The 26,229-nt window shown below is 36.6% G+C and overlaps 1 protein-coding gene across 15 annotated transcripts in view; it reads left to right on the top strand.

Moving 5' to 3' along the window:
* Nucleotides 1–26,229, top strand: part of ANKRD31 (ankyrin repeat domain 31) — a 168,582-nt gene that overhangs the window by 15,889 nt on the left and 126,464 nt on the right. For 7 of the 15 annotated variants that reach the window (XM_011543301.4, XM_047417078.1, XM_017009318.3 and 4 more), the window contains exons 4-7: nucleotides 10,122–10,162; nucleotides 14,503–14,579; nucleotides 21,316–21,359; nucleotides 24,790–25,359. In XM_011543301.4, the coding sequence (XP_011541603.1) occupies nucleotides 10,122–10,162; nucleotides 14,503–14,579; nucleotides 21,316–21,359; nucleotides 24,790–25,359 (732 nt within the window). Of the gene's footprint in view, nucleotides 1–8,602; nucleotides 8,638–10,121; nucleotides 10,163–14,502; nucleotides 14,580–21,315; nucleotides 21,360–24,789; nucleotides 25,360–26,229 lie in introns of those variants that run through there. The other 8 variants (NM_001164443.1, NM_001372053.1, XM_024446010.2 and 5 more) reach the window with 5 other exon arrangements.

Raw genomic sequence — 26,229 nt, 5'->3', positions numbered from 1 at the left:
CTGCATAGTATTCCACCACGTGCCACCATGCCTGGGTAATTTTTGTATTTTTAGTGGAGACAGGGTTTTGCCATGTTGGCCAGGCTGGTCTCAAACTCCTGACTGCAAGGGATCTGCCCACTTTGACCTCCCAAAGTGCTGGGGTTACAAGCATAAGCCACTGCACCTGGCCTGTTATTCTTTAACTTTTAATAGCCATTTTGACTGGTGTGAGCTGGTATCTCATTGATTTGCATTTCCTGAATGATTAGTGACATTGAGCATTTTTTTGGATGCTTGTTGGCCACGTATATGTCTTCTTGTGTAAAGTGTCTGTTCATGTCTTTTGCCCACTTTTTTTTTTTTTTGAGACGGAGTTTTGCTCTTGTTGTCCAGTCTGGCGTGCAATGACATGATCACAGCTCACTGTAGTGTCTGCCTCCCAGGTTCAAGTGATTCTCCTGCCTCAGCCTCCCGAGTAGCTGGAATTACAGGCATGCACCATCATGCTCGGCTAATTTTTTTGTATTTTTAGTAGAGACAGGGCTTCTCTGTGTTGGTTCGGCTGGTCTCGAACTTTCGACCTCAGGTGATCCACCCGCCTCAGCCTCCAAAGTGCTGGGATTACAGGTGTGAGCCACCGTTCCCGGCCATTGCCCACTTTTTAATGGAGTTGCTTTTTGCCTGTACATTTTTGTAAGTTCCTTGTAGATTCTGTATATTAGACCTTTGTCAGATGTATAATTTGCAAACGTTTTCTCCCATTCCATAGGTTGCCTGTTAAATGTTTTCTACCATTCTGTAGGTTGCCTGTTTACTCTGTTGATAGTTTCTTTTGCTGTGCAGAAGCTGTTTGGTTTAATTAGGTCCCATTTGTCAGTTTTTGTTTTTCTTGTGATTGCTTTTGGAATTTTCCTCATCAAATCTTTGCCAGTTTCCATGTCCAAAATGGTATTTCCTAGGTTATCTTTCAGGGTTTCTATAGTTTTACGTTTTATATTTAGATCTTTAATCCATCTTGAGTTGATTTTTATATACGGTATAAGAAAGGGGTCCAGTTTCAACCTTCTGTATATAGCTAGCCAGTTATCCCAGCACCATTTATTGAATAAGGAGTTCTTTCCTCATTGCTTGTTTTTGTCAGCTTTGCCAAAGATCAGATGGTCATAGATGTGTAGCTGTATTTCTGGGCATTCTCTTCTGTTCCATTTGTTTATGTGTCTATTTTTGTACCAGTACCATGCTGATTTGGTTACTGTAGCTTTGTACAGTTTGAAGACAGGCAATGTGATTCCTCCAGCTTTTTCTTTTGCTTAGGATTGCCTTGGCTATTCGGGATCTTTTCTGGTTCCCTATGAATTTTAGAATAGTTTTTTTCTGGTTCTGTGAAGGATGTCATAGCATTGTATCTGTAAATTGCTTTGGTTGATATGCCCATTTTAACGATATTGAGTCTTCCTATTCATGAGTATGGAATGTTCTTCTATTTGTGTCACCTATGATTTCTTTGAGCAGTGTTTTATAATTATCATTGTAGAGATCTTTCACCTCCCTAGTTAGCTGGATTCCTACTTTTTTTGTTTGTTGCTTGTTTGTTTGTTTTTGGTGTTGTTGTTTTGGCAATTGTGAATGGGACTGTGTTACTTTTGGCTGTCAGTTTGGCTGCTTTTGGTGTATAGGAATGCTACTGATTTTTGTACATCAATTTTGTGTTCTGAAACTTTGCTGAAGTTGCTTATCAGCTCAAGGAGCTTTTGGGCAGAGACTATGGGGTTTTCTAGATATAGAAGCATGTCATTTGCAAACAGGGATAGTTTGACTTCCTCTCTTTTTATTTGGATGCCTTTTATTTCTTTCTCTTACCTGACTGCTCTGGCCAGGACTTCCAATATTATGTTGAATAGGAGTGGTGAGAGAGGGCATCCTTATTTTGTTCTGGTTTTCAAGGGGAATGCTTCCAAGTTTTGCCCATTCAGTATGATGTTTGGTGGTGGCTGTGGCTTTGTCATAGGTGGCTCTTATTATTTTGGAGTTGTTCCTTCAATGCCTAGGTAATTGAGGGTTTTTAACATGAAGGGATTTGAATTTGATTGAAAGCCTTTTCTGCATCTGTTGGGATAATCATGTGGTTTTTGTCTTTTATTTCTGTTTGATGAATCACATTTATTGATTTGAATATGTTTGAATATGTTTGATGAATCACATTTATTGATTTGAATACGTTGAAGCATTCCAGAGATAAGGCCTGCTTGATCCTGGTGAATTAGCTTTTTGTTGTGCGAATTCACATTTGGTTTGTTAGTATTTTGTTGAGGATTTTGATGAGCATATATATTCATCAAGGATATTGGCCTGAAGTTTTCTTTTTTTTGTTGTGACTCTGACAGGTTTTAGTGTCAGGATTATGCTAGCCTCCTAGAATGAGTTGGGGATGAGTCTCTCCTCCTCAATTTTTTGTAATAACTTCAGTAGAAATGGCACCAGCTCTTCTTTGTACATCTGTTATAATTCAGCTGTGAATCTCTCTGGTCCTGGGCTTTTTTTAGTTGGTAGGCTGTTTATTACTGATTTAATTTCAGAGCTCATTATTGGTCTGTTTAAGTATTCAATTTCTTCCTGATTCAGTTTTGGAAGGATGTATACGTCCAGGAATTTATCCATTTCTTCTGGAATTTTAGATTTATGTGCATAGAGGTGTTGATAGTTGTCTCTGATGGCTGTTTGCATTTTTGTGGGGTCAGTGGTAACATCTCCTTTGCCATTTCTAACTGTGTTTATTTGGATCTTCTCTCTTTTCTTCCTTATTAGTCTACCTAGAATTCTATCTGTCCTATTAATTTTTTCCAAAAAACCAACTTCTGGATTTGTTGATCTTTTGTAAGGTTTTCATGTTTCTGTCTCCTTCAGTTCAGCTCTGATTTTTGGATATTTCTTCTCTTCTACCAGCTTTGAGGTTGCTTTACTCTTGCTTCTCCAGTTCTTCTAGTTGTATGTTTAGTTGTTAATTTGAGAAATAAGATCCTTTTGAGACAAGCAAATGCTCAGGGAATTCATTACCACCAGAACTTCCTTACAAGAGCTCCTAAAAGAAGCCCTAAATATGGAAAGGAAAGATTGTTACCAGCCACTACAAAAACACACTTAAGTACACAGACCAGTGACAGTATAAAGCAACCACACAAACAGATCTGCATAATAACCAGCTAACAACATGATGACAGGATCAAATCCACACATATCAATACTAATGTTGAATATGAATGAACTTAATGTCCCCATTAAAAGACACAGAGTGGCAAGTGGGATAAAGAGGTAAGACCCAGAGGTATGCTGTCTTCAAGAGACCCATCTCACATACAGTGATACCCATAGGCTCAAAATAAAAGGTTGGAGAAAAATCCACCAAGCAAATAGAAAACAGAAAAAAGCAGGTGATGCAATCCTAATTTCAGACAAAACAGCCTTTAAGCAACAAAGATCAAAAAAGACAAAGAGGGGCATTCCCTTCCCTAGTCCATAGCAAGAAAAAGAAGGGCATTACTTAATGGTAAAGGGTTCCATTCAACAAGAAGACTTAACTGTCCTAAATCTGTATGCACCCAACTCAGGTGCACCCATATTCATAAAGCAAGTTCTTAGAGACCTAAGAAGAGACTTGGACTCCCACACCATAATACTGGGAGACTTCAACACCACACCAACAGTATTAGATGATTGAGGCAGAAAATTAACAAAGAGATTCAGGACCTGAACTCAACACTTGACCAAATGGACCTAGTAGACATCTACAGGACTCTCCACCCGAAGACAACAGAATATACATTCTTTTCATTGCCACATGGCACATATTCTAAAATTTACCCTGCAATCGGACATGAAACAATTTTCATCAAACTCAAAAAACTGAAATCATACCACCCACACTCTTGGACCACAGCTCAATAAAAATAGAAGTCAAGGCCAAGAAAATTGCTCAAAAACCATAATATTACACAGAAATTAAACAACTTTCTCCTGAATGACTTTTGGGTAAATAATGAAATTAAGGCAGAAATCAAGACATTCTTTGAAATTAATGAGAGCAAAGACACAACATACCAGAATCTCTGGGGCACAGCTAAGGAGTGTTAAGAAAGAGATTTATAGCACTGAACACCCACATCAAAAAGTTAGAAAGATCTCAATTTTTTTTTAAAGTAAATGTCATGGGGAAAAGTAAGGGATGATTCTGTTAGCACCTTGGCATAAGTAAGTTAGCTAACCAGAGATAAGGAATGGAAGGAAAGATACATACATTTTAGTAGCAGAAACTGACAGCATTTCCCAAAAGTTAATGTGAAGGTCTACTTAATATCATACTTAGGAAAGTGTATCAAATAAATGATCTCTGATAAAAAGCAAAACATTTAACACCAAATATCTTTCCTTGAAATTGAGAGATCTATATTTGCCTTCTAATAACTCATTTAAAAATTAATTTTGTAACTTCTGAGTTCAGAAAAAGTAATATTTATTTCCTCTGGCTTCAGTAATTGTGAAATAGGAGGTAATAATTATTTTTCTTTCAATTTATTTCAGAAACATTTGCTATGTGATTGTTGTACCAGGAACTGTATTGTACCTCAGAACATGGTTTAAAAAGTAAGATTTTCAGACCCATTTGGGTAGCTTTTTAAATATATGGATTCTCAGACCCATACTTGGGTGGAACCTGGGAATGTTCAGTTTTCAAAAGCCTTCCAATTAATTTCTAATATTCAGTCAGCTTGGAACAATTGCCTTAGAGGACTTGAAGAGTTAACAAATGTATTCTTCAAAACTTTATCATCAGATAGTAAACTAGCCATCTGCTGAGTATGGGCTTGTTATAAAATTAGATTAAGAAGGATAAGTGAAGTATTGGATATTTGGTTCTTTTTAAAAAACTTTCATTGGAAAAATAGATACCTCCTTTAACTTTCTTTTATATCCTACTTTTGTCTACAGTAAAAGGCAATGTAATCCCAGTATGTGAACATCTGTAGCAAATTTTAATTAATACTATTTTCTAAATTGATAAATGTTGCTTCTTTCATTGTTTTATCCTATGAAAATAAACCTTTTGAAATTTAACTATATGAGAGAAACTGATTTTATCAGATAAAGAAATTGAGATATGAAAAGGTACTTTCTCAGAGTTTTTTTTTTAATTTGTTGTTTTGCAACTGGAATTAGATTTCTAAGTAAATTCTAAATAATTATGAAACAGGTTTCTAAATAAATTCTTCCCAGATTCACAGATACCAATATTGATATTTCAACTTTAAAGAATACTATTTTAGAAATGATGAGCTATTTTAAATAAGAACAAACAATGAAGAAATAGAAGATCTTTGATTTGATGTATGTCATATTAATTTTTTAAAATGTAGGCATCAATCTTTAAAAATATTTCATACTCCTCATTTTTGTTGGGTCTTATAAAATACCTTTTCTAGTTCTTTACATGTATGCTATATGGCAAGCAGTTTTAAAACTTTACATGAATAGATTTTGGTTTGTGTGGAGAGTTTAGTGATATGCCTGGAGAGATAATGGAGACATGGGTATGTCAAAATTAGGGGGGCATGATGGTTCATTTTATGTGTCAACTTGGCTGGGTCACAGAATGTTCAGATAGTTGGTCAAACATTATTCTGGATATTCTGTGAGTGTTTTTGAATGAAATTAACATTAAAGTCAGTGGACCTGAGTAAAGCAGACTGCCCTCCATCATGTGGGTAGGCCTCATCTAATCAGTTGAAGACCTGAATAGAACAAAAAGACCTGCCTCTCCCCGCAAGAGAGAATTCTACAGCAGACTGTCTTTAGATTTTATCAGCACCATTAGCTCTCCCGGATGATTTCCTGCTGGCCTTTAAACTCCATCTGTACTATTGCCTGTTCTGGTTCTCTGCCTGTTGACCTTTAGACTGGAACTATACCATTGGCTGGCTGTGTCTCGAGCCCGACAGGTCACACTGCATATTTGCACTTGCCAGTTTCCATAATTGTGGGAGCCAATTCCTTATAATAAATCTCTTTCTACATATGTACACATCCCATTGGTTCTGTTTCTCTGGAGGATCCTGACTAATACAGTGGGCATCACTGGTCTCATAGTCAGTTTTTGGTCATCTAGAAGATACTTGTTGACAGGGAGTAAAGATTAATTGAATTGTACAATTATTACCAGTAGGCCGCTTCTTCTGCCTCAGGACTATTTATCTGAGAGTTGTGAATACAACTTGAATCTCACTTTCCTTTTCCCTTTTGCAGCCTCCATCTTCTATCTTTATCAAGATTCAGAGAGAGAATCAGTTAAAATGAGCATTAAAGAGAACCTTGAAGGGGAAATAAATAACCACAGGCTTGTTTGATGTGTGTGTAATGGAAGAAGGATCAGGGCTGGCAAGGCCAGAGCTCATGGAGAGATTATGCACTGCATGGTCTTTTAAAGCCCCCGTGGGCAGGTAGCATTCTCTCTTACTAGCTGCCTCACTGAGTAATAAATTGCTGGGCTACTCAAATACAATGTGATTTTTCTAAAGTTAGGTACCCCTGATGCTACTGAGCTGATCACTACTGCCAATGGTATACTTTTCCTGGCTCTTTAATTCATCCTAACTTGCTTCCTAAAATTGCTGTCTCTGTTCAGAAGTTGCAATGACTTAGGAATATTTCTGGGAAGAAGTAGGATGAAAATGGGGCTTTAGCACCTAACTTAGCTAGAGTAAAGACAATTCTCATTCAGTGGTTAAATCACTGTGTATTTAAATTGTGTTTAGATCCTAGTGAGTGGATGTCAACATTTAAGAATACTGAAGCAGTACACAGATGGTACCATATGTCCAGAGGGAACGCTCTAAAAGGCAATTGTATGGATATTTGAAAATATTTTTAAATATCTATATACATGACCAAGTTTGGGTACCTCACTCTGAAAGAAAGATATCTTAAGCAAATGTTGTTAGCAATTCATCCAGGTACTTCAAACGCTTATTGAATACCAGTAACTACTATTCTGGTCTACCAAATGTGAAGGTAGTTTGTGTGAGACATTCAGTGTGTCATGGAGAGCCAGGATTGGTTGGGCTGATCCGGCAAGCCAGACTTCTTCCACTCCACTCCCAGTTATCCATGAATCAGTGAAAGAGAATGTTCTCAGATAGCAGGAGATTGCTTTTTTGGTTGAGGATATAGAAATAGATTTGCTTCTTTTCTAGATCCTCTAAATTAACACAATTAACCTCTCTTACCTCTCACATCCTAGCTCCAAAACAAAAAAAACAACAAGAAAACTCTACGGTTTAATGGCCTTGTCAAAATGCAGTGGGGTAAAGACAGGGGAAGGTTCAGTCACATGTATTAAAAAGATAGATGCCAATTTGTGTTTCTTATGAAAAAATTGATTGACATGTATTCTTGCATATTGTTCATTAACAAATTAACAGCTCCAGCCCCCACTTGTATTCAATGGCATTAGCTCTTGGTTGGTAGTTCTGTCTATAGAGGAGGAAATAAATCAGCTGTCAGGAGCAACCTTCCTTCCTACTTGCTTTCTTACCTTTTGCATTTACCTTTTGCACTTTTGGAGGCCAACATGGGCAGATAGCTTGAGCCCAGGAGTTCCGTGTAGAACCTTAAGTAGGTACAGTCAAGTGAATAATTAGTCCTCAACAGGAAAAGTCACTGGTCCTTTAGTAAGATAAATGAAAATTACAAATATTTGAAAAATTACTTTGCAGAGACACAGAAATATCTTGTAAGTGTGTAGGTATACCCTGTTTAATTAATTCTTGGGAGTTTCTGGGTTTGTCTCTCGACATTTCTTATCTTTGGCCTCTGAGCTCTGTAAAGCCTGCTTGGGAAGTATATATGTGTGAAACTAATGTAACTTTGGGGTGTTTAGGGATGCATTATCAGTATATAATACTGAGCATTAATTGGAGAAGGTTGAGGTTATCACATTGCTTTATTTGTGTTTTTTGATATGATTTGCATGTTGTTCATTAACGAATTAACATCTCCAGCCCCCACCTGTATTCAGTGGCATTAGCTCTGTATTGTATTAGTGTAATCATGAAAATGCTTGCAAGTTCAGCCTAATGGCTTTATTTTCAGAGAGCTTTATAATTTATCATAGAAACAAACATAAAGGGCCCCTAAAGAGAAGTCTTTTTCTAAAGCTCTTAGATGCTGACAACATATTAAAGGTAAAGATTCCTTTTAAAGTGACAAAAGCCAGTAGGTTGTGAACTCTTAAAATGGAAGCATGTTATCAGTGTATTTTATCTTTTTCGAAAGGGACACAACAACTTCAGATTTTCTGATATGTATTAAGAATTAGGCAGAATCAGTTTTGAGTTGGGGTCTCTGTCACCCAGGCTGGGGTGCAGTGGTGCCATCACAGCTCACTGCAGCCTTGACCTCCCTGGGTTCAGGTGATCCTCCCACCTCAGCCTCCTAGGTAGTTGGAACTATAGGCATGGGCAACCATGCCTGGCTAATTTGTTGTTGTTGTTGTTGTTGTTTTTGTTTTTGTAGAAACTGGGTTTTGCCATGTTTCCTAGGCTGGTCTCCAACTCCTGGGCTCAAGCTATCTGCCTATGTTGACCTCCCAAAGTGCCAGGATTACAGGTGTGACCCACTGTGCCCTGCCCAGTTTAGTATTTAACACTGTAACACAGAGGTCATATAATTTCTGGTCCTTAGGGGAAATATTAAAACTTAGAACTGGACAAGAATGGCTGTTCAGAATCATCACATATTAATGAAGAGGAAAAAACTAGGAATAAAAAAAAGAGCACTTCTCTTTCTCTTCACTTAAGTTCTACTTTTTTGTGTATGTATGGAAAGGAGTTATGATAAAGACAGAAGAGCCAAAACTATAAAACTCTTAGAAGAAAACGTTGGAGAAGAGTATCGTGACATTGGATCTGGCAATGATTTCTTAGTTATCACACCAAAAGCACAGGCAACAAAAGAAAAAATAGATAAGTTAGATTACATGAAAATTAAAAACTTTTGAGCGTCAAAGGACACCACCAACAGAGTATAAAAGCATCTTATGGAATGGGAGAAAATATTTGCAAATCATGTATGGTTTACAGAATATATAAAGAGTTCTTACAACTCCACAGCAGAAAAAAAAACAACTGAATTAAAAAATGAGTAAAGGGCTCAAATAGACATTTCACCAAAGAAGATATAAAAATGGCCAATGAACAGATGCTCAATATCACTAATCATTAGGGAAATGCAAATCAAAATCACAATGAAATACCACTTTACACTCATTATGATGACTATTATTTAAAAAAAATACCCAAAATAACAAGTGTTGGCAAGAATGTAGAGAAATTGGAACCCTTGTACATAGCAGATGGAAATGTAAAATGATGCAACTGCTGTGGAAAATGGTGTGGCTATTCCTTAAAAAAGTTAAACATAGAATCACCTTAATGATTTAGCAATTTCACTTCTGATTGTATATGCCGAAGAAGTGAAAGCAGGGACTTGAATAGATATATTTGTACACACATGTTCATGGCAGCATTATTCTCCATAGCCAAAAAAGGTGGAAGCACTGCAAGTGTCCATCAATAGATGAATAAACCAAATGTGGTACATACATACAGTAGAATATTATTCAGTCTTAAAATGGAAGAAAATGCAGATACATGCCACAACATAGATAAACCTTGAATACTAAGTGAAATAAACTAGTCACAGAATGATTAAAATTTTGTATCTCTTATATGATGTTTCTAGAGTAGTAAATCAATAAAGACAGAAAGCAGAATGGTGGCTGCCATGGGTTGTGGAGAGGGGAGTGGGGAGTTAGTGTTTAATGAGCATGGAGTTTCACTTTGGGAAAATGAAAAAGTTCTGGAAGTTCATGATGGTCTTGGTTGTACAACAGTGTGAGTATACTTAATGCCAGAGAACTGTACACTTAAAAATGTACAGATAGTAAATAGATAGTAAATTTTATGTGTATTTTACCACCATAAAAAGAAGCTAAGAAAGAATAACACAAAAATTACTTTAAATGTTAATTTTTTTAGCTTGTTGCATTGAATTAACACTTATCAGTTGGAAAAAACTTTTTTTTTTCCTAGCAGTCTCAAGATGAAACAGAACGAAATCAAGCTCTGTTACAGTAAGTATACTAATTTTTGGCTTCATTATGTTGTAGGTATTTTTGTCATTTTGCACATCTAAGATGAATATTCATTTTTAAGAGTTTTAGAATTATTGTATATTTTTGAATAATTGCCCATTTTGTAGCAAAAGTATATGTTATTTTACATACATTCTAGATAAGTTTTATTTCATAAGAAGCATTGAATCAGATTAACTTGGTTCTCTATTATTTTAAAAGCGAATTTAAAGCATAGCTTGAAGGTGCAAATTTATGAAGGGGCTGCAAATAAATAAAAGCATGGCATGAAGGAAGAATTTGTAAAACTTATTGAAATTAGACTTTATAAACTTATTATACCTTAAGAAACTCGGCCAGGCATAGTGGCTAACGCCTGTAATCCTAGCACTCTGGGAGGCTAAGGTAGGCAGATTACCTGAGGTCGGGAGTTCCAGACCAGTCTGGCCAACATGGTGAAACCCCATCTCTAATAAAAAATACAAAATTAGCCGGGCGTGTTGGTGGGCGTCTGTAATCTCAGCTATTCAGGAGGCTGAAGCATGAGAATTGCTTGAGCCTGGGAAGCGGAGGTTGCAATGAGCTGAGATCATGCCACTGCACTCCAGCCTGGGCAACAGAGTAAGACTCTGTCTCGAAAGCAAGAAAGAAAGCAAGAAAGCAAGAAGGCAGGAAGGAAGGAAGGAAGGAAAGAAACTGTCCTTTCAGTTCTTTTAAAACAATGATTCTCAAAGTATGGTCTGTGAACACTTTGGGAATCCATGAGATTCTTTTAGAGGGTCTGTGAGGTCAAAACTATTTTCATAATAATACTAACACATTAGTTGCCTATTTCATGGTATTTACATTTGCACAATAGTGCTAAAGTAATGGTGGGTAAAATGCTGGAGTCTTAACAGGAACCAAGGCAGTGGCACCAAAGAATATTAGTAGTCATTGTGTTTTTTCACTGATGTGTGCTGTCAGTTACATAAATAAAAAGAAGCCAGTTTCACTTAACACAATTTGTGTTTGATAAGGCAGGAAAATTATTAATTTTAGTAAGTCTCCACCTTTGAGTATATATATTTTTAATATTCTGTGTGATGAAATAGAAAGTATGCTTAAAGCATTTCTGTGCATACTGCTATGTGATATTTATCTTTTTTTTTGAACCATAGTCTCAGTCTGTCACCCAGGCTGGAGTGCAGTGGTGTGATCTCGGGTCACTGCAACCTCTGTCTGCCAGATTCAAGCAATTCTTGTGCCTCAGCCTCCCAAGTAGCTGGGACTACAGGTGTGTGCCACCTTGTCTGGCTAATTTTTGTATTTTTAGTAGAGACAGGGTTTTGCCATGTTGGCCATGCTGGTCTTGAACTCCTGGCCTCAAGTGATCCACCTGCCTGGGCCTCCCAAAGTGCTGGGATTACAGGCATGAGCCACCGTGTGCAGCCATGATGTTTATCTTGAGTAAAACACCTGTGCACTTGTTTGAGTTGTAAGCATTGGAAGAAAACTGGTTTCACCTTTTTTTTTTAACTTGAGAGGTGATTTTTTGATATTTTATAATAAAATATGTCAACATTAGGAAAACATACATAACTCAGTGCATAAGTATTTTCTAAAAGACCAATGCATGATGTTACAAAATCATGTAAAGGTAAAAGACTCATTCAAAAGTGCAAGATAGACTATGAGTTTTAATGTAATAGAATGCAAAAAGTTCATTAATTTTGTTTGAGTTTCCTACATTTCCCTTTTAGGAAAGTATTGTTGATTAAATAATTTTGCTGTAATATTGAAAAAGAATATTTTAGGGGTAGAGGGGGAAAGCGTCCTCTACCCTCAATGAAGGTTTGCTGAAAATGAACAGACAAAAAGAAAGATTTATAGAATAAAAATGCATATAAAGTTTATTTAATGTACATGGGGGAAAATCACAGGAGTGTGGTTACCCAATAACCCAGTGAGGTCCAGATGTTTATATACCATTCTTCATAGGGGAAGAGGAGATGGAGGATATAGCAGTAAATGATTTTCAGGGGAAATGAATATGCCCAAAAAACAATGGCCTGGGACAAGTTCCTCTAAGTTTTGGGGAATTGATGGGAAGATGAGAGACAGAACTTCACTCTGAACAAAGGTTGTCTTAGGCAGATAAAGTCTTGGGTAGTCTCTTGGAGCTGCTGTCAGAAGAATAGATAAAGAATTTGTCTGGACATAGTGTCCTGTCACCTGGCCTTAGAGACTTTTAGTCTTTTCTCTGATGGTTAATCTTTCCTGGTTGTTTAATGAGATTCCTAGGGAGGGGATTTTAAGACCATTTTATTTTATTTTTTCAAGAAGCTTTCTCAGTCAGATAAGGAAATTCTGGAGAGAGTCCCTTCAGGTGCTTCAAGAAAAAAAGATCAGAGAAATGGGGTGGGGGGTGAGGGGAAAGCTCAGATGGAGACCTTGGTTCTGAAGCTTATTTCTCAGGCCTTTCAATTTTCTTTAATTCAGAGTACGCAGCTTGCCATAGCGTCGTATTTTGGGGTATTATTTTCTGTACCCAAGCAATATTCACAATTATCCAAAAAGGCTATTAAAATACTCCTCCCTTTTCCAACCCCATATCTGTGTGAAGCCAGATTTTTGTTATATACTTCAAATAAAATTATATATGGCAACAGATTGAATGCAGTAGCAGATATAGGATGATAGTCATCTTTCATTAAGCCACACATTAAAGAGATTATTAAAAATGTCAAAAATTGCAACTTCTCTCGCTAATTTTTTTCATTTTGGAAAAGATAATTTTTCATAAAAATATATTAATATGTTCCTGGATTATTGCTGTCATTTAAAAATTTATACATATTTAGTTTTGTTCTTCATTTTAGTTTCTAATATGTAGATATAAATAAGTGTAAGACACCAATAATTTTTAAGAGTATAAAGGAGTCTGAAGATCAAAAAGTTTGAAAACTTCTATTGTTGTAAAATAACCCTTTTGCCCCAGCTACCAACATTATAAGTTCATTTAAAGAAATAAAAAAAGAAAAGACTAAGGAAGACTAATATAGCATCCATATTCTCTCTGCCTAGAGAACCATTTGTTAACATTTTGGTACGTTTTACTTTAGGCTTTATTTATATTTTTGTTTTTGTTCATACTTTCTACAAAATTGGGATCATCTTGCAGATAGTTTTGTATCCTGTTTTTAAATTTTAAGTAATAGTTTATCAAAGTTATTTTCTTGTGTCATAATGTTTTTAAAAATGTGAATTTTGATGACCTTATAATACCTTATTGTATTACTGACTTTACTATAATTCATTTAATTATTCCTCTACTACTGGACATTTAGGTTGTTTGTAGTCTTACCTAACATAAATATTTGTAATAATTTAGATGAAGCTTTGCTCTATTTTCAGACTATGTCTTAAATACTCTTGCAATTAAGGGAAAAAATTCTGTTAAACTATGGTTTTATTTTGCTTTCAGCTTGTTCTTAAAAAATCACACTTTAGGAAAAAAATCAGCATTCTTTTCTATTTGCTTCAAAAATTATCATTCTACATGAATAGCTTCATTTTTATCTGAAGACAGCTTATACTGATCACTTCTGTTTTTGGATAGGAGAGAATGCTTAATTTATTACTCTTGCATAGGACTCCAGTAGCTGTGCCTACTGCATTAAAAACTGCTCTTAAAACAGCTGAAATGAGAGGCTTTTTTTTTAAAGGAAGGTATCTTGATTACATTTATGCAGTAAATTAGGCTGAGAAAAAATACAGTTAGCTGATTGCCTTTCTTTAATCAGCTTTTAATTATCACAGGGCAGATGATGAAAATTGCAGATTAGGCATGACCCTTATTTTGCTTTTAACTTCCTCCCTTCGGTATTCCCTACCTTTTCTTTGCCTGCTGTGAAATACAAGAATGATAAGTAATGCCTGGAGAAATTTATCATTAATGACTCTCACTTACATCTAAAACTAATGACAAACTATCAGTGTGTTTGATGATGTAGATAGAAAAACTACGTATTTCAGGACCATTTTCTCCCTGACCTTCCTGCCCCTATTTGGCAAACAGTCACCTCCAAAGTCACCTTCAGACCTAAATGTAGTTTAGCTTGTATACACTCCTCAGGTCATTTATTATTTTTTCAGCTCTCTCCTTCATTTGTGCAGTTACTTGAAATGAAAATGTTAACAAATTGGTAATAATTGTAAAAATAATTGGAATGATATAGCAAAAAATTATCCTATTTGGAAAGCCCTTTAAGTGAAAAAGAAAAATTAAATTGTATTTGAATGAGAAACACTATTTTTTCTTCCATTTTAAAATTTATTTTTATTAATTGATTTTTTAGGACTAGAAAAAACTGTTCAATGTTCATTGGGTCGTTTCGCCAGTCTGGACTTTCATTGAACCACCAAAATATTGAAGGTATGTTTTCATGGTAGAGTCATATAAAGGAAATTAGTCTTTGCCTAAAAATAGAAGACTTAGTTAGATATACATTTATTTACAACTAGGCTGGTCAACCATATATATATATATATATATATATATATATATATATATATATATATATATATATATATATATTTTTTTTTTTTTTTTTTTTTTTTTTTTTTTTTGGTAGAGATGTGGTCTTGCTATGTTGCTCAGATTAGCTTTGACCTCCTGGGCTCAGGCAAATTATCCTGCCTTAGCCTCCCGAGTAGTTGGGACTACAGGCATGCTCTACTGAGCCTGGCTTACTATATGTTTATAAATATGAAATCAGTGTTGCTATTGACTTGGGGCATGCTTCATAGAATTACCTATGGGAGTAGCAGCTCAGATGCCATTAGTATCTGCTACTCAAAATGTGATTTGGGGGCTGAAATTTGAAAACAAAGTTTGTTTCCTATGTTCATAAGATTTTTAATAAGAATTTCATGTCTTTCTTGACTGGCAGTCACACAGGCCAGTTTTGCCTTGGTTTGAGCTGTATTAGAGGATAGCTGTCTATCTCTTTGCAGTGTCTACCAATGATTCCTCCAGAGTGAATGTCAGGTATATTGTGTCACAATGTAGTAAATATTTATAGTGTTTAATGATACCTAGTATTATAAGAAAAGGATACAAGGACATGGTATCATTTTGGAAAGATAAATTTAAAAAGCTCTGTCTTCTCTTGCTCTGTTGCTACAACAAAGCAGTACCACTTTTGCCCACCACCAGCTCTTACGTATACTTTAACTGTCTAGAGTTTGGTCTTTAATATTGTTTATTCTTTTAACAAATACTTATTAAGCCTACTAAATACCAAGTATGTGGGTGCTAAGGGTGTGAATGCTAAATAAACCAGGGATTCTTAAAGGGTAGCTGATCACTTTTGGAGCATGACAATATCAGGATGAGCCTGAACATACAATTATTACTGAAAAGCAAGGATGCTTTCAAGGATGTCTGGGGCCAGTGCTGGAGGATAAATGGTTAGCTCAATGGTGCTGTGGCCAAACTGTGATAAACTGGCCAAACTGATAAATTAAGTAGGGATAAAAACCCAGGAATTTAGAGTTCATGCAAATAAGTTTGTGAAAAGACCATGAGTTCATAATGATACTCAAAAAATGTTAGGAGTGTACAAAAGATTGTCTCAATACAAAAAGAAAAACAACTACAGCAGGATGTTTAAGGATGGGCTGGATGTGGTGGCTCACACCTGTAATCCCAGCACTTTGGGAGGCTGAGCCAGGGTGATTGCTTGAGCCTAAGAGTTCGAGACCAGCCTGGGAAACACAGCAAGACCCCCATCGCTACACACACACAAAATTATCCAGGCTATGGTGGTTCATGCCTATAGTCTCAGCTGCGCTGAGGCGGGAGGACAGCTTGAGCCCAGGAGGTTCAGGCTGCATGAGCCATGTTTCCAGCCCGGGTGACAGAGTGAGACCCTATCTCAAAAAAGAAAGTTTTAATAACTAAGAATTGGGGGCCTGTTAATATCTGTGCATTTTCTTAATTAAATACATGTCTATTTATAAAACATAGGATATTTTTGTTTATCACTGTTTAAGTAGGGAAAGAGTCAAGGAGTCCTGGAAAAAGTAAGAATTGTACCAAGGAAAGGAAGGCCCATCACACAGTACCAGCAGTGACACATAAAACATATAAAGTGGGGTCTGTGTCCCCAGATGACAAATTAACCTGATATCCAATTAAGGAGACTTTTCTGCAGAGACTAGATCCTTATCTCTTAGTAAATAAAAGCCTTAGATGGCCCTGCCTATCATGATAAGATACTAAATGGCAGGAATAAGTTTCTAGTAACACTACATAACATATCAGCACATAATAAATGACAAGAGAAAAGCTTTTGTAACACCAACCAAGTAAAACTTAAAGCATTCTCGGACAAAACATTAGATTACAAAAAATAACCTTTGTGAAGTTTAAGGTATTTATTTATAAGTAAAGCCAGATAATTGGCTGGTCAGGTTGGAATAATCTTGAGAGAAATAATCTCATGCCCCAACAAAAAAGCAGGTAATCTGTAACCCTGGGAAGGTATCAGAATAAGAATTACTTTAATCTTAAAAAGGTATAAGAACAAGTATAGAAATAAAGAAGAATGAATTACAACAATGATACTGTTATTTTAGAATTAGTTTAAGAGCAGTAGTCTTTTATATATTTGAAATGGTAAAAAATTATTTCAAATTTTTAGTTTAAATTGTTTAAGGAAATTTAAGTTTGTTATCAATGTTTAAATGTTAAATAGTAATTTTCAAGTTTTCATGTCTTAGATATAGAAGTTTAGTAAATTGACCATTAAACAAATGTAAGCGCAAGGGGTAATTAATGTTCCTCTTTAAATATAAAAGACTTTCTGATTTTAAAAAAGTTTAATAAATATCAAATGGCCTAATATAATTCAGACTATGCAAAACGTGATCTCCAAATTTAGTAAAAACCTATTTAGCACTTTTTACAAGATGTAGTTATGGATTAAACAAAAAGAGTCATGTTTATAAAGCTATAATGATGTCATCTTAGAGGTTGAAGTCTTTTTGTGTGTGTGTATGAGGATGTATTGAACAATTTGAGACAGAGGTGTCATGGATAATATCATGCCCTGGGCATTCCTTTTTCTTCTTTGGGTATTTTCTTTTCTTTTCTTTTCTTTTCTTTTTTTTTTTTTTTGAGATGGATCCTCTCTCTTTCGCCCAGGCTGGAGTGCAGTGGCGCAATCTCTGCTCACTGCAACCTCCACCTCCCGGGTTCAACCAATTCTCCTGTCTCAGCCTCCTGAGTAGCTGGGATTATAGGCACGTGCCACCAGGCCTGGCTAATTTTTGTATTTTTTTAGAGACAGGGTTTCACCATGTTGGCTAGGCTAGTCTTAAACTCGTGACCTCATGTGATCCACCCACCTGGGTCTCCCAAAGTGCTGGGATTACAGGTGTAAGCCACCGCGCCCGGCCTCCCCTTTGGGTTTTGACTATAACAGGTGTCATCAATACTTACACAAAAATGTATTTTTATTTTTCTCATACCCAATTCTAGTATTTATTTTAAAACAGGGTTCCACTATGTCCTATAGTCCCATAACTCCAACCTCCTGCCCATTTGGCCTCCTGAGTGCCAGCCATTAATGCCTTGTTATGCCATTGGCATCTGTGCACTGTTGTCACCACTCTCCTCGAACTTCTGAGTCACAAGTCTCATAGGCTGTTCCTTCAAAAGTGCCACATGGCCAGGTGAGGTAGTGCATGCCTATAGTCCCAGCTACTAGGGAGGCTGAGTTGGGGGGATCCCTTGGGCCCAGGAATTTGAAGTGGCAATTGGCTATGATTGTGCCACTGCATTACAGCCTGGGTGACAAAGCAAGACCCCCATCTCTAAAAAATAAAAAATAAAAAGTAGTGCCACATGCACCAGGATTATTGCTTTGTGTGTTTCTTGCTGCCCTAAAGCTGCTGTGACTAGAGATCCTTAGAATTGGTAGTTCTCTTCCATTCTGGCACTTCATTGAAGCTCTCTCTTGCCTTTACTCCTTTCAGAGTATTCAGAACAAGAAGCTCATTTTATTATAATTCCAGACTATAGGTTAAATCACGTACAAGTAAATTATTAAATTGTTAGCTTTTATAGTTGACTGTGTTCTAATACAGACCTCTGTCCCAATTCAAAGGGTAAATTCTAATCAAATTGTAGAAAGATAAAGATAAGCAAACTGCCTTAAGCAAATATAATAGCTTTGGCCTTAAAACACCTGTGTATAAGTTAAATTTTGTGTATAAGTTAAACCAGGCTTCTCTGGCCATTTTCTTTGAATTTGATGCTTTAGAATTATTTCTCATGTATACCATTATATTTTGCCTCTCTAAAGTGAAAGTGGAAAATTTGAAAATTCTTTTAATGATTTATTAAAGGATAGACAAAAATTCAAGAATTCTTTATGTATTTGTAAAAACTTTAAAGTAAAATTTGTAGTTAGAAAAGATAATTCCTTCTAAATGTGTTGGTTTTTAATATAGTAATCAAATTACTGTAAAATATTTTATTAAGTTTTTAAAATAGTACCTGTTGGCATAAAAGAATGATCATTTCGTCAACGAGAAGAGTCCAACTCTGTAAAATATTTGAAGAGATTTATTCTGAGCCAAATATGAGTGACCATGGCCTGTGGCACAGCCGTCAGGAAACTCTGAGAACATGTGCCCAAGGTGGTCAGGGCACAGCCTAGTTTTATACATTTTAGGGAGACATGAGACATCAATCAATATGTGTAAGATGAAGTACATTGGTTTTGTCTGGAAAGGTGGGACAAACCAGAAGCAAGGTGTGGCCTGGGGGCTTCCAGTTTATAGGTGGATTCAAAGATTTTCTGATTGGCAATTGGTTGAAAGAGTTATTATCTAAAGACCTGGAATCAATAGAAAGGAATCGCTGGGTTATGATGATAAGGGGTTGTGGAGACCAAAGTTTTATCATGCAGATGAAGCTTACAGATAGCAGGGTTCAGACAGAGCAGATTATAAATTTTTTTAAACAGACTTAAGATCTGTGTTGATGTTAACACTGGATGGCTTTTCCTCAATTCCAGAAGGGAGGAGGGTGTAATGAGGCGTGTGTGACCCTTTCTTCCCTTCAAGGCCTGAACCAACTTTGGTATGCCCATGGCCAAGAGGGGTCCATTCAGATGATTGGGAGCCTTAGAATTTTATTTTTTTGCTTTATAGTTTTGAAGATGAAGTTGTTAAAGACAACATGGGAGAAAATGTCTATAAGAGTTGTTTCTTATGATTCGGAGAAGGAAGAAAAGTGAAATCTCTTTTTCTGTTTTTGAATTCTAATCCCCCAAAGATGTGAAATTTTATTTAAAAAAACCTCTCCTTCCAAAGGTAGTTGAAGATGTATCTATTATTTTAAAATGTTTCTTTCATTGGTATTAAAATTTTAAGCAAGTAGAGATATAAAATGTTAAGTAAGATACACACAATGAAATATGTCATCACTTGTTGACAGGAATAATTCTAAACCAAGGATAAGAAATTATTTATTCTTATGACTTTTTGCTTATCATGCTGTGAGCAAGTAATACGCCATGATTTTAGCCCTCCTAACTGATTTTCATAGCTTTTTATCATTAAATTGCAAAGATGAAGCGAGGGAAAAAAACAGGTTTATTATTATTATCTTTTAGGATGTGAAGCTCAGCAAGAATATTTATGCTTCTTTTTCCCCCTGAAAAACCTGTCTTGCTTATGAGGATGCATTTTGAGGTTCAGCAGATAATTACTTGCTTTTACTTTAGCTATGTAGACATTACCTAATCAAAAGAAACCAAAAGAATGACTCAGATATATGCTTGAAATTCCAGTGAGTTCTGAATTCCTACTCAGGTGTGTCAGAATATTTGGGTCTTTTTTTCTTTTCTTTTTTTTTTTTGAGGCGAAGTCTTGCTCTATTGCCCAGGCTGGAGTGCAGTGGTGTAATCGCGGCTCACTGCAACCTCTGCCTCCCAGGTTCAAGCAATTCTCATGCCTCAGCCTCCCGAGTAGCTGGGATTACAGGTGTGTGCCACCATGCTGGCTAATTTTTGTATTTTTAGTAGAGACAGGATTTCACCTTGTTGGCCAGGCTGGTCTCAAACTCCTGACCTCAAGTGATCTGCCCACCTTGGCTTCCCAAAGTGCTGGGATTACAGGCGTGAGCCACTGTGCCTGGCCAGAATACTTGGGTCTTGATGATGAAAGTAAATGGGCTGGGTGTGGTGGCTCACACCTGTAATCCTAGCACTTTGGGAGGCCAAGGCAAGTGGATCACTTGAAGTCAGGGGTTTGAGACCAGCCTGGCCAACATGGTGAAACCCTGCCTCTACTAAAAATACAAAAATTAGCTGGGCATGGTGGTGCATGCCTGTAATCCCAGCTACTCAAGAGGCTGAGGCAGGAGAATCACTTGAACTCAGAGGCAGAGGTTGCTGTGAGCCAAGATCGTGCCACTGCACTCCAGCCTGGCCTGCAGAGCGAGACTCCATCTCAAAAGAAAAAAAAAAAAAAGAAAGAAAGAATGTAAAAGGAACAGTGGAGGAGAACTATCTTTTTTCCAGATCCTCCTTTGACCTAACTTGGGTGTGAATTGCTGTTTGCCAGCTTGGCTCAGAGGGGGCAGGGTGAGAGTAGATAGTGAATTTGCAGTCACAGAGGCAATGCAGCAATCCTCCATAGTGTCTAGGATGACCCTCTGTCCTTTTGACCCCTATAAGGGGCATTTCTTTTCATGCCTAACTCCAGACAGCATGAGTTCATTTAAGCTCTAAGTACCTGTAGTAGAAGAGATAATGACACTGAGAAAGTAGATAGTCTTTTTCCTATGTAGTTACAAATGCTGTACTTAGTATAATTCAGCCAAAATAGAGTTCTTGGTTTTTAGCTAAAATAATTCCAAATAGTTACAATTTTTTTGGAGCTATATAAAATATTTTTTAAGAAATGCAAGAATTTTATAATTTCATTTCCAAAATAATACTTTTATACTAATAAATTTATGTAATATTAATAAAATATATGATGTGTCACTTGACTGAGGGAGTTTAAGTTATATGATTATGAAATGTCAACTGAGAAGGTATGTTTTTAGTGCTTCCATAAAACTGGAATGAAAACACATTGTTTTTTTCTAGGGCCAGAGGCTGAAAGTCCTGAAGTTTTGCCACACATAGAAAAGGTTGGTCTGTATAACAGAAATTAACTATGTAGACTGTGAGTTTAGATTTTTTAAAAAATTATGTCGATTAAAGTATCAAGCTCATTTAGACCCTCACCCTCATCTACTAAACCATTTCGGTAGATAAAAATCTATTCTTGTCTAATCACCTCTTTCATGTTTATTCTTCCTTATTGCTAATGAAAGTGTTTTCTTGATCTGTGTCTCTTATCCAGTACTGTTAAGTCTCTTACTTTTTATCTAGAGTAGAAATACATAACTTGTTATCAAACTGTTTCTGAGATAATGTAGCAAAGTTCCTTCCTGCTTTGGATTTGCTTTTTACTTGGTGCTATGGAGAATCAGAGGACTATAGGACTGGCTCTGCTTACAATGAACTCACGCTTTCCTCAGGGATGCTAGGCAATCAAAGACCTCCCCAGTGAGATAAAGTCTCACTTTGTTGCCCAGGCTGGAGTACAGTTGTGCGATCATAACTCACTGCCACCTGGAACTCCTGGGCTCAAGAGATCCTCTCACCTCAGCTTCCCCAGTAGCTAGGACTGTAGGCCCATACTGCCACACCCAGCTGATTTTTTTCTTTTAATTTTTTTGTAGACCCTGGGTCTTGGCATCTCACCCAGGTTGTCCCTGTAGCTTACTTTATCTCAGCCACACCTTACACTTTCCTGCCTTCATGCTTTTGCTCAAATCAGGAGCCAGAAGATGGGAAATAACATAAAATTTGGAAACCAGATAGGTCTGGGTTCCAAGGATAACTGTTTATATCTGTAAGATAGGGGCAGCGATAGCTGTTTTACAGGTATTGTGAGGACCGAGCAATGATGGTTCATGATGTCTGGCACCTAGTTGGTGCTTAGTAAATGTGTGTTCCTCCATTCTTTCACTCCACAAATCTTTAATTTCTGGCTCAAGTACCTGTTCTTCTGTGGATCTATTTCAGATAATTCTGGCGATCTTGACCAAAGTAATTGCTCCCTCTCTAGCACTCATTATTTACTAACTATATCATTATTTCCAAATCACTTGTACTCTATAATATTAATAGATCTTCTGAGGAGAAGGATTTTTTTGGACAAAAATGTTTGGAGAACACTGTGTCCTAAAGTTCCCCAATGCACATGGTTTGGAAAGTCCTGTCACAAAGTAACTTGTTTAACTTTGCTCAACCAAGTATTTTTCAAAGAATCATGAAAGCCCTCCACTGCCTCCATTTTTTTCTTCCCCAGAAAACTCATTTTTGCAAGACACTAGGCTTTGTATGTTATCAAGCAAATGGGCCTGCTGCCTGATGTGCATAGAAGCCAGTGCTGTGGCATTGGCTTTTGAGGGAAAAAAAGGCTTTATTGTGAGACAGGCCAGCAAGGAGACAGGAGAGGCAGCTCAAATTTGTGTCCTCTATTTAGGGTCTGGAACAGGTTTAAGGGGGCAGAAGGTAAGGGAAAGGACTTAGGAATGTTGGCTTGGCAGAGTCTGATTAGAAGACCTCGAATTTGACCATTTACGGTAAGGTATATTTAGGCAGATTTTAACACCAAATCTTTCTGACTAGCAGACCTGTTTCTTCAGAAAGAGTACCAGTGGTCAGGTTCCAGTCATTTCTCAGTCTTCTTGGTTCAGGAGGAGGGGAAGTCATTTTTCTGTCTTCTTGGTTCAAGGTTCTGGCTGCGTTACATGACTTGCAGTTTTCGCTGTGTTATACCTGCAAGATGACTTGACATTCTGTTACCAACAAAGTACGGCCAATTTGGGCTGGTTCTGTGGTTATAAATGCAACTGCTTGATATACACTAGTTTATGCCATTCATTTGATTTCATAAGTGTTCTATGACATTATTTGTATTCTGTTTAATGTCCTAGGTATTTATGTCTTGAATCTTAAGTTAGAAATAAATTGCTTTAAGACAGAGCCCAATGTATATACTTTATTATACCTGGTGCGAGGACTTCAAATAGTGGAGAGGCCTTGAACTGAGACTTAGAGAGTGAGTAGGATCTGGTTCTTGAATTTCTTGCATATTCCTTTTATCTTTCTGAGAAAATTATAGTTAGCATTGCTAACAAATAAATATGTTTTCTTAAGTGCTGTATGCTATTAATATATACAAAGTACATAAAGGTGGCAGGTAGAAAAGGACAGGAGGAAGAATAAAGTGGTTTTGCTTCTCTCACTCATACCAGATTAGAATATTAGAAGGCTTACAAATTACAGCACATCCTGTCAAAGGTATGGTGGATTTGATTTTTGGAAAAAACCAAAGTCATTGAAACCCATTCTGGTATTTAAGGCCGATAAAAAGTATTTAGTGTTTGAAAATTTTTCAGTGCCTTTAAAGCACATTATTTTCTTGAATGGCTTATAAACTCATTCTGAAAGCAATTTCAAAAGAGGGATTCTAACAGTATTTTGAGTATTAGAAACATTGTGAGGCTGGGCATGGTGGCTCATGCGTGTAATCCCTGTACTTTGGGAGGCCGAAGCAGGCAGATCACCTGAGGTCAGGAGATTGAGACCAGCTGGACCAACATGGTGAAACCCCATCTCTCCTAAAAGTACAAAAAATTAACAGGGCATGGTGGCAGGCTCCTGTAATCCCAGCTACTCAAGAGGCTGAGGCAGGAGAATCACTTGAATCCTGGAGGCAGAGGTTGCAGTGAGCTGAGATGGCACCACTGCACTCCAGCCTGGGTGACAGAGTGAGACCTCATCTCAAAAAAAAGAAAAAAAAGGAAAGAAAAGAAAAAAAGAAACATTGTGAGAACAGGTATAACCTATTAAGGTGATGTCTTAGAGAAATAATAGTCATTTAGAAATGTTAAGTTTAGTGGGTTTTTTTGCTTAAAATAACCACAACTCAGAGCCATTCATTCACAGCTAGGGCTTGTAATATTTATACATAACTGTACCCTCATTTCTCCACCTTTTCCCTCTGACCTCTTGTCCTTTGGCCTCTTTACTCCACATTTACTTATTCCTACAAAGGTGGGGGAACAAAAAGAAGGTGAAATTTTATTCCTAGTTAATAATTTTATAAATCAAATAGGACATTTTGGCAAGAAAGAATTTTATAACCATTAATGGCTATGAAGCTTTGGGATCATCTGTTAATTTAACTATCCATGCCATCTCTGCTTCTTCTGTTAGCACAGATAATTTAAACTTAGGTGAATAATTTGCCATCCGTAATTATGGTCCAGCCAGTTATGCTCTTGGTCTATTATTAAATGTTTAACCATGTTTTCAGTAATTAGCGATTTGGTATAGGAAAGCAATAAAGAGTATTCCCTTTATTTATGGAAGGGAAGGAAAGTTGATGATAAATTTTGAGGGTAGCTTACAAACAAGATAAACTATAAAACTATAAAGTTTTCATTTTAAATACTTTATTGTATATGCTGTAATGATGTAATTTCTATTTGTAATACACAGGAACTAAGTGAAGGCAGAGATTCTCCTGAAGTTAGCCTTCTCTCAGGCACTGCTATTACAGTATCTGATACAGTTGCTGTAAAGGAGACATCATTAGTAGAGCCAGAGAAGATTTTAGCAGCACCAAATACATTTTTTGAGCCTAGAAAGGAAGTCACAATGACCATGACTTCTGAAGAAACTAAGGATGAAGAAAGCTCTCTTGAAACCTTTGTGTCTGCCTTAGAAAGTTTACTTACATCACCAGAAAGCACCCAGGAGGAAAGATTGTTTGAATTAGTAAGTGATTTTGATCGTAAAGAATTGATGAACCCATTGAGTGACTCTCTTAGTTCCATATCAATACCTTTGAATTCCTGGTCGGCATGTCATAGAGATTTACTAGAAGATGCAAAAGATGATGCATTGCCAGCTGAGTTATTGGAAGCCCTGAACACATTGTCAGAAGCCAAGGTGGAAACCATCTGTCACAGAAAAGAGGGAGGTAGCAGTCTCATTGCCAGAAATGAATGTTTAGAAGTGGAGTTCAATACGTCTCAGACCAATGAAGATTGTACACAAATAGCAGAGGTGAATTTTGAATTTCTTTGTTCTACTCCACCATTTGAACATGGTTCCAAGTTAGCTGAGCTATAGGACAAGCATCTTTCAGTGGAGCAAGTAGCTGAAAATATGAGTCTATGATTTTGCCTTTTAAACTTCAACAAGTTTTCATTGTGTTAAAATCAAATCTACCCAAATATCAACACCGAGAAGATACTTTGTGACTTGGAAGCATAGAGTGATCTTTTTAGAAGTTCCTAGGATAGAGTTTTCGAGGAGTTAGGAAATGAAAATAGAAAGATTTCTTCTCAACAGGGCTGAGAAGACATATCTTTAGATTGCTTATATGTAGGAAGGAAAGAATTCTTTACTAAAATTTTCTCTGTTAGCTCAGAAAATCACTATGTCTACCTGGGTGCAGAGTACTGATGGGATACCCCACATTAATTTACATTTTGACATAGAATATATGCAGTTGGGATGCCAGGGGAGGGAAAAAATATGCCTAGCTTAAGCAGAATTTTGACTTCTATGTCTGAGAATACTATCAGGTGGCATAGCTCTTGGGGTTTAGAATTCTTGTAGTATTATGCCTGGAGGCTCTGTAGTGGCCTATCACTCACAAAGTCCCTTTGTCATATTGACAGTTTCTTTGTTTTTAAAAATAATCTTTATTTTTTCCCCTGATTATAATAATAATGCATCCTCATTATAAAACACATTTTAAACCTTACAGAATTACATAATAATATGGTAACAAATATCCTCCACAGTTTCACTCTTTAGAGGTAATCACTGTTAACAGTTTGGTGTATCTCTCTCCAATTATTTCCATCATATTCTATATTAGTTCATTTTATACTAATGGGATTATATTATATATAATGCCTTCCAACT

Source organism: Homo sapiens, chromosome 5 (assembly GCF_000001405.40).
Source record: "Homo sapiens chromosome 5, GRCh38.p14 Primary Assembly".
Taxonomy (NCBI): domain Eukaryota; kingdom Metazoa; phylum Chordata; class Mammalia; order Primates; family Hominidae; genus Homo; species Homo sapiens.
The sequence above is the reverse complement of the archived record's forward strand: the minus strand, read 5'-3'. Positions and strand labels throughout refer to the sequence as shown.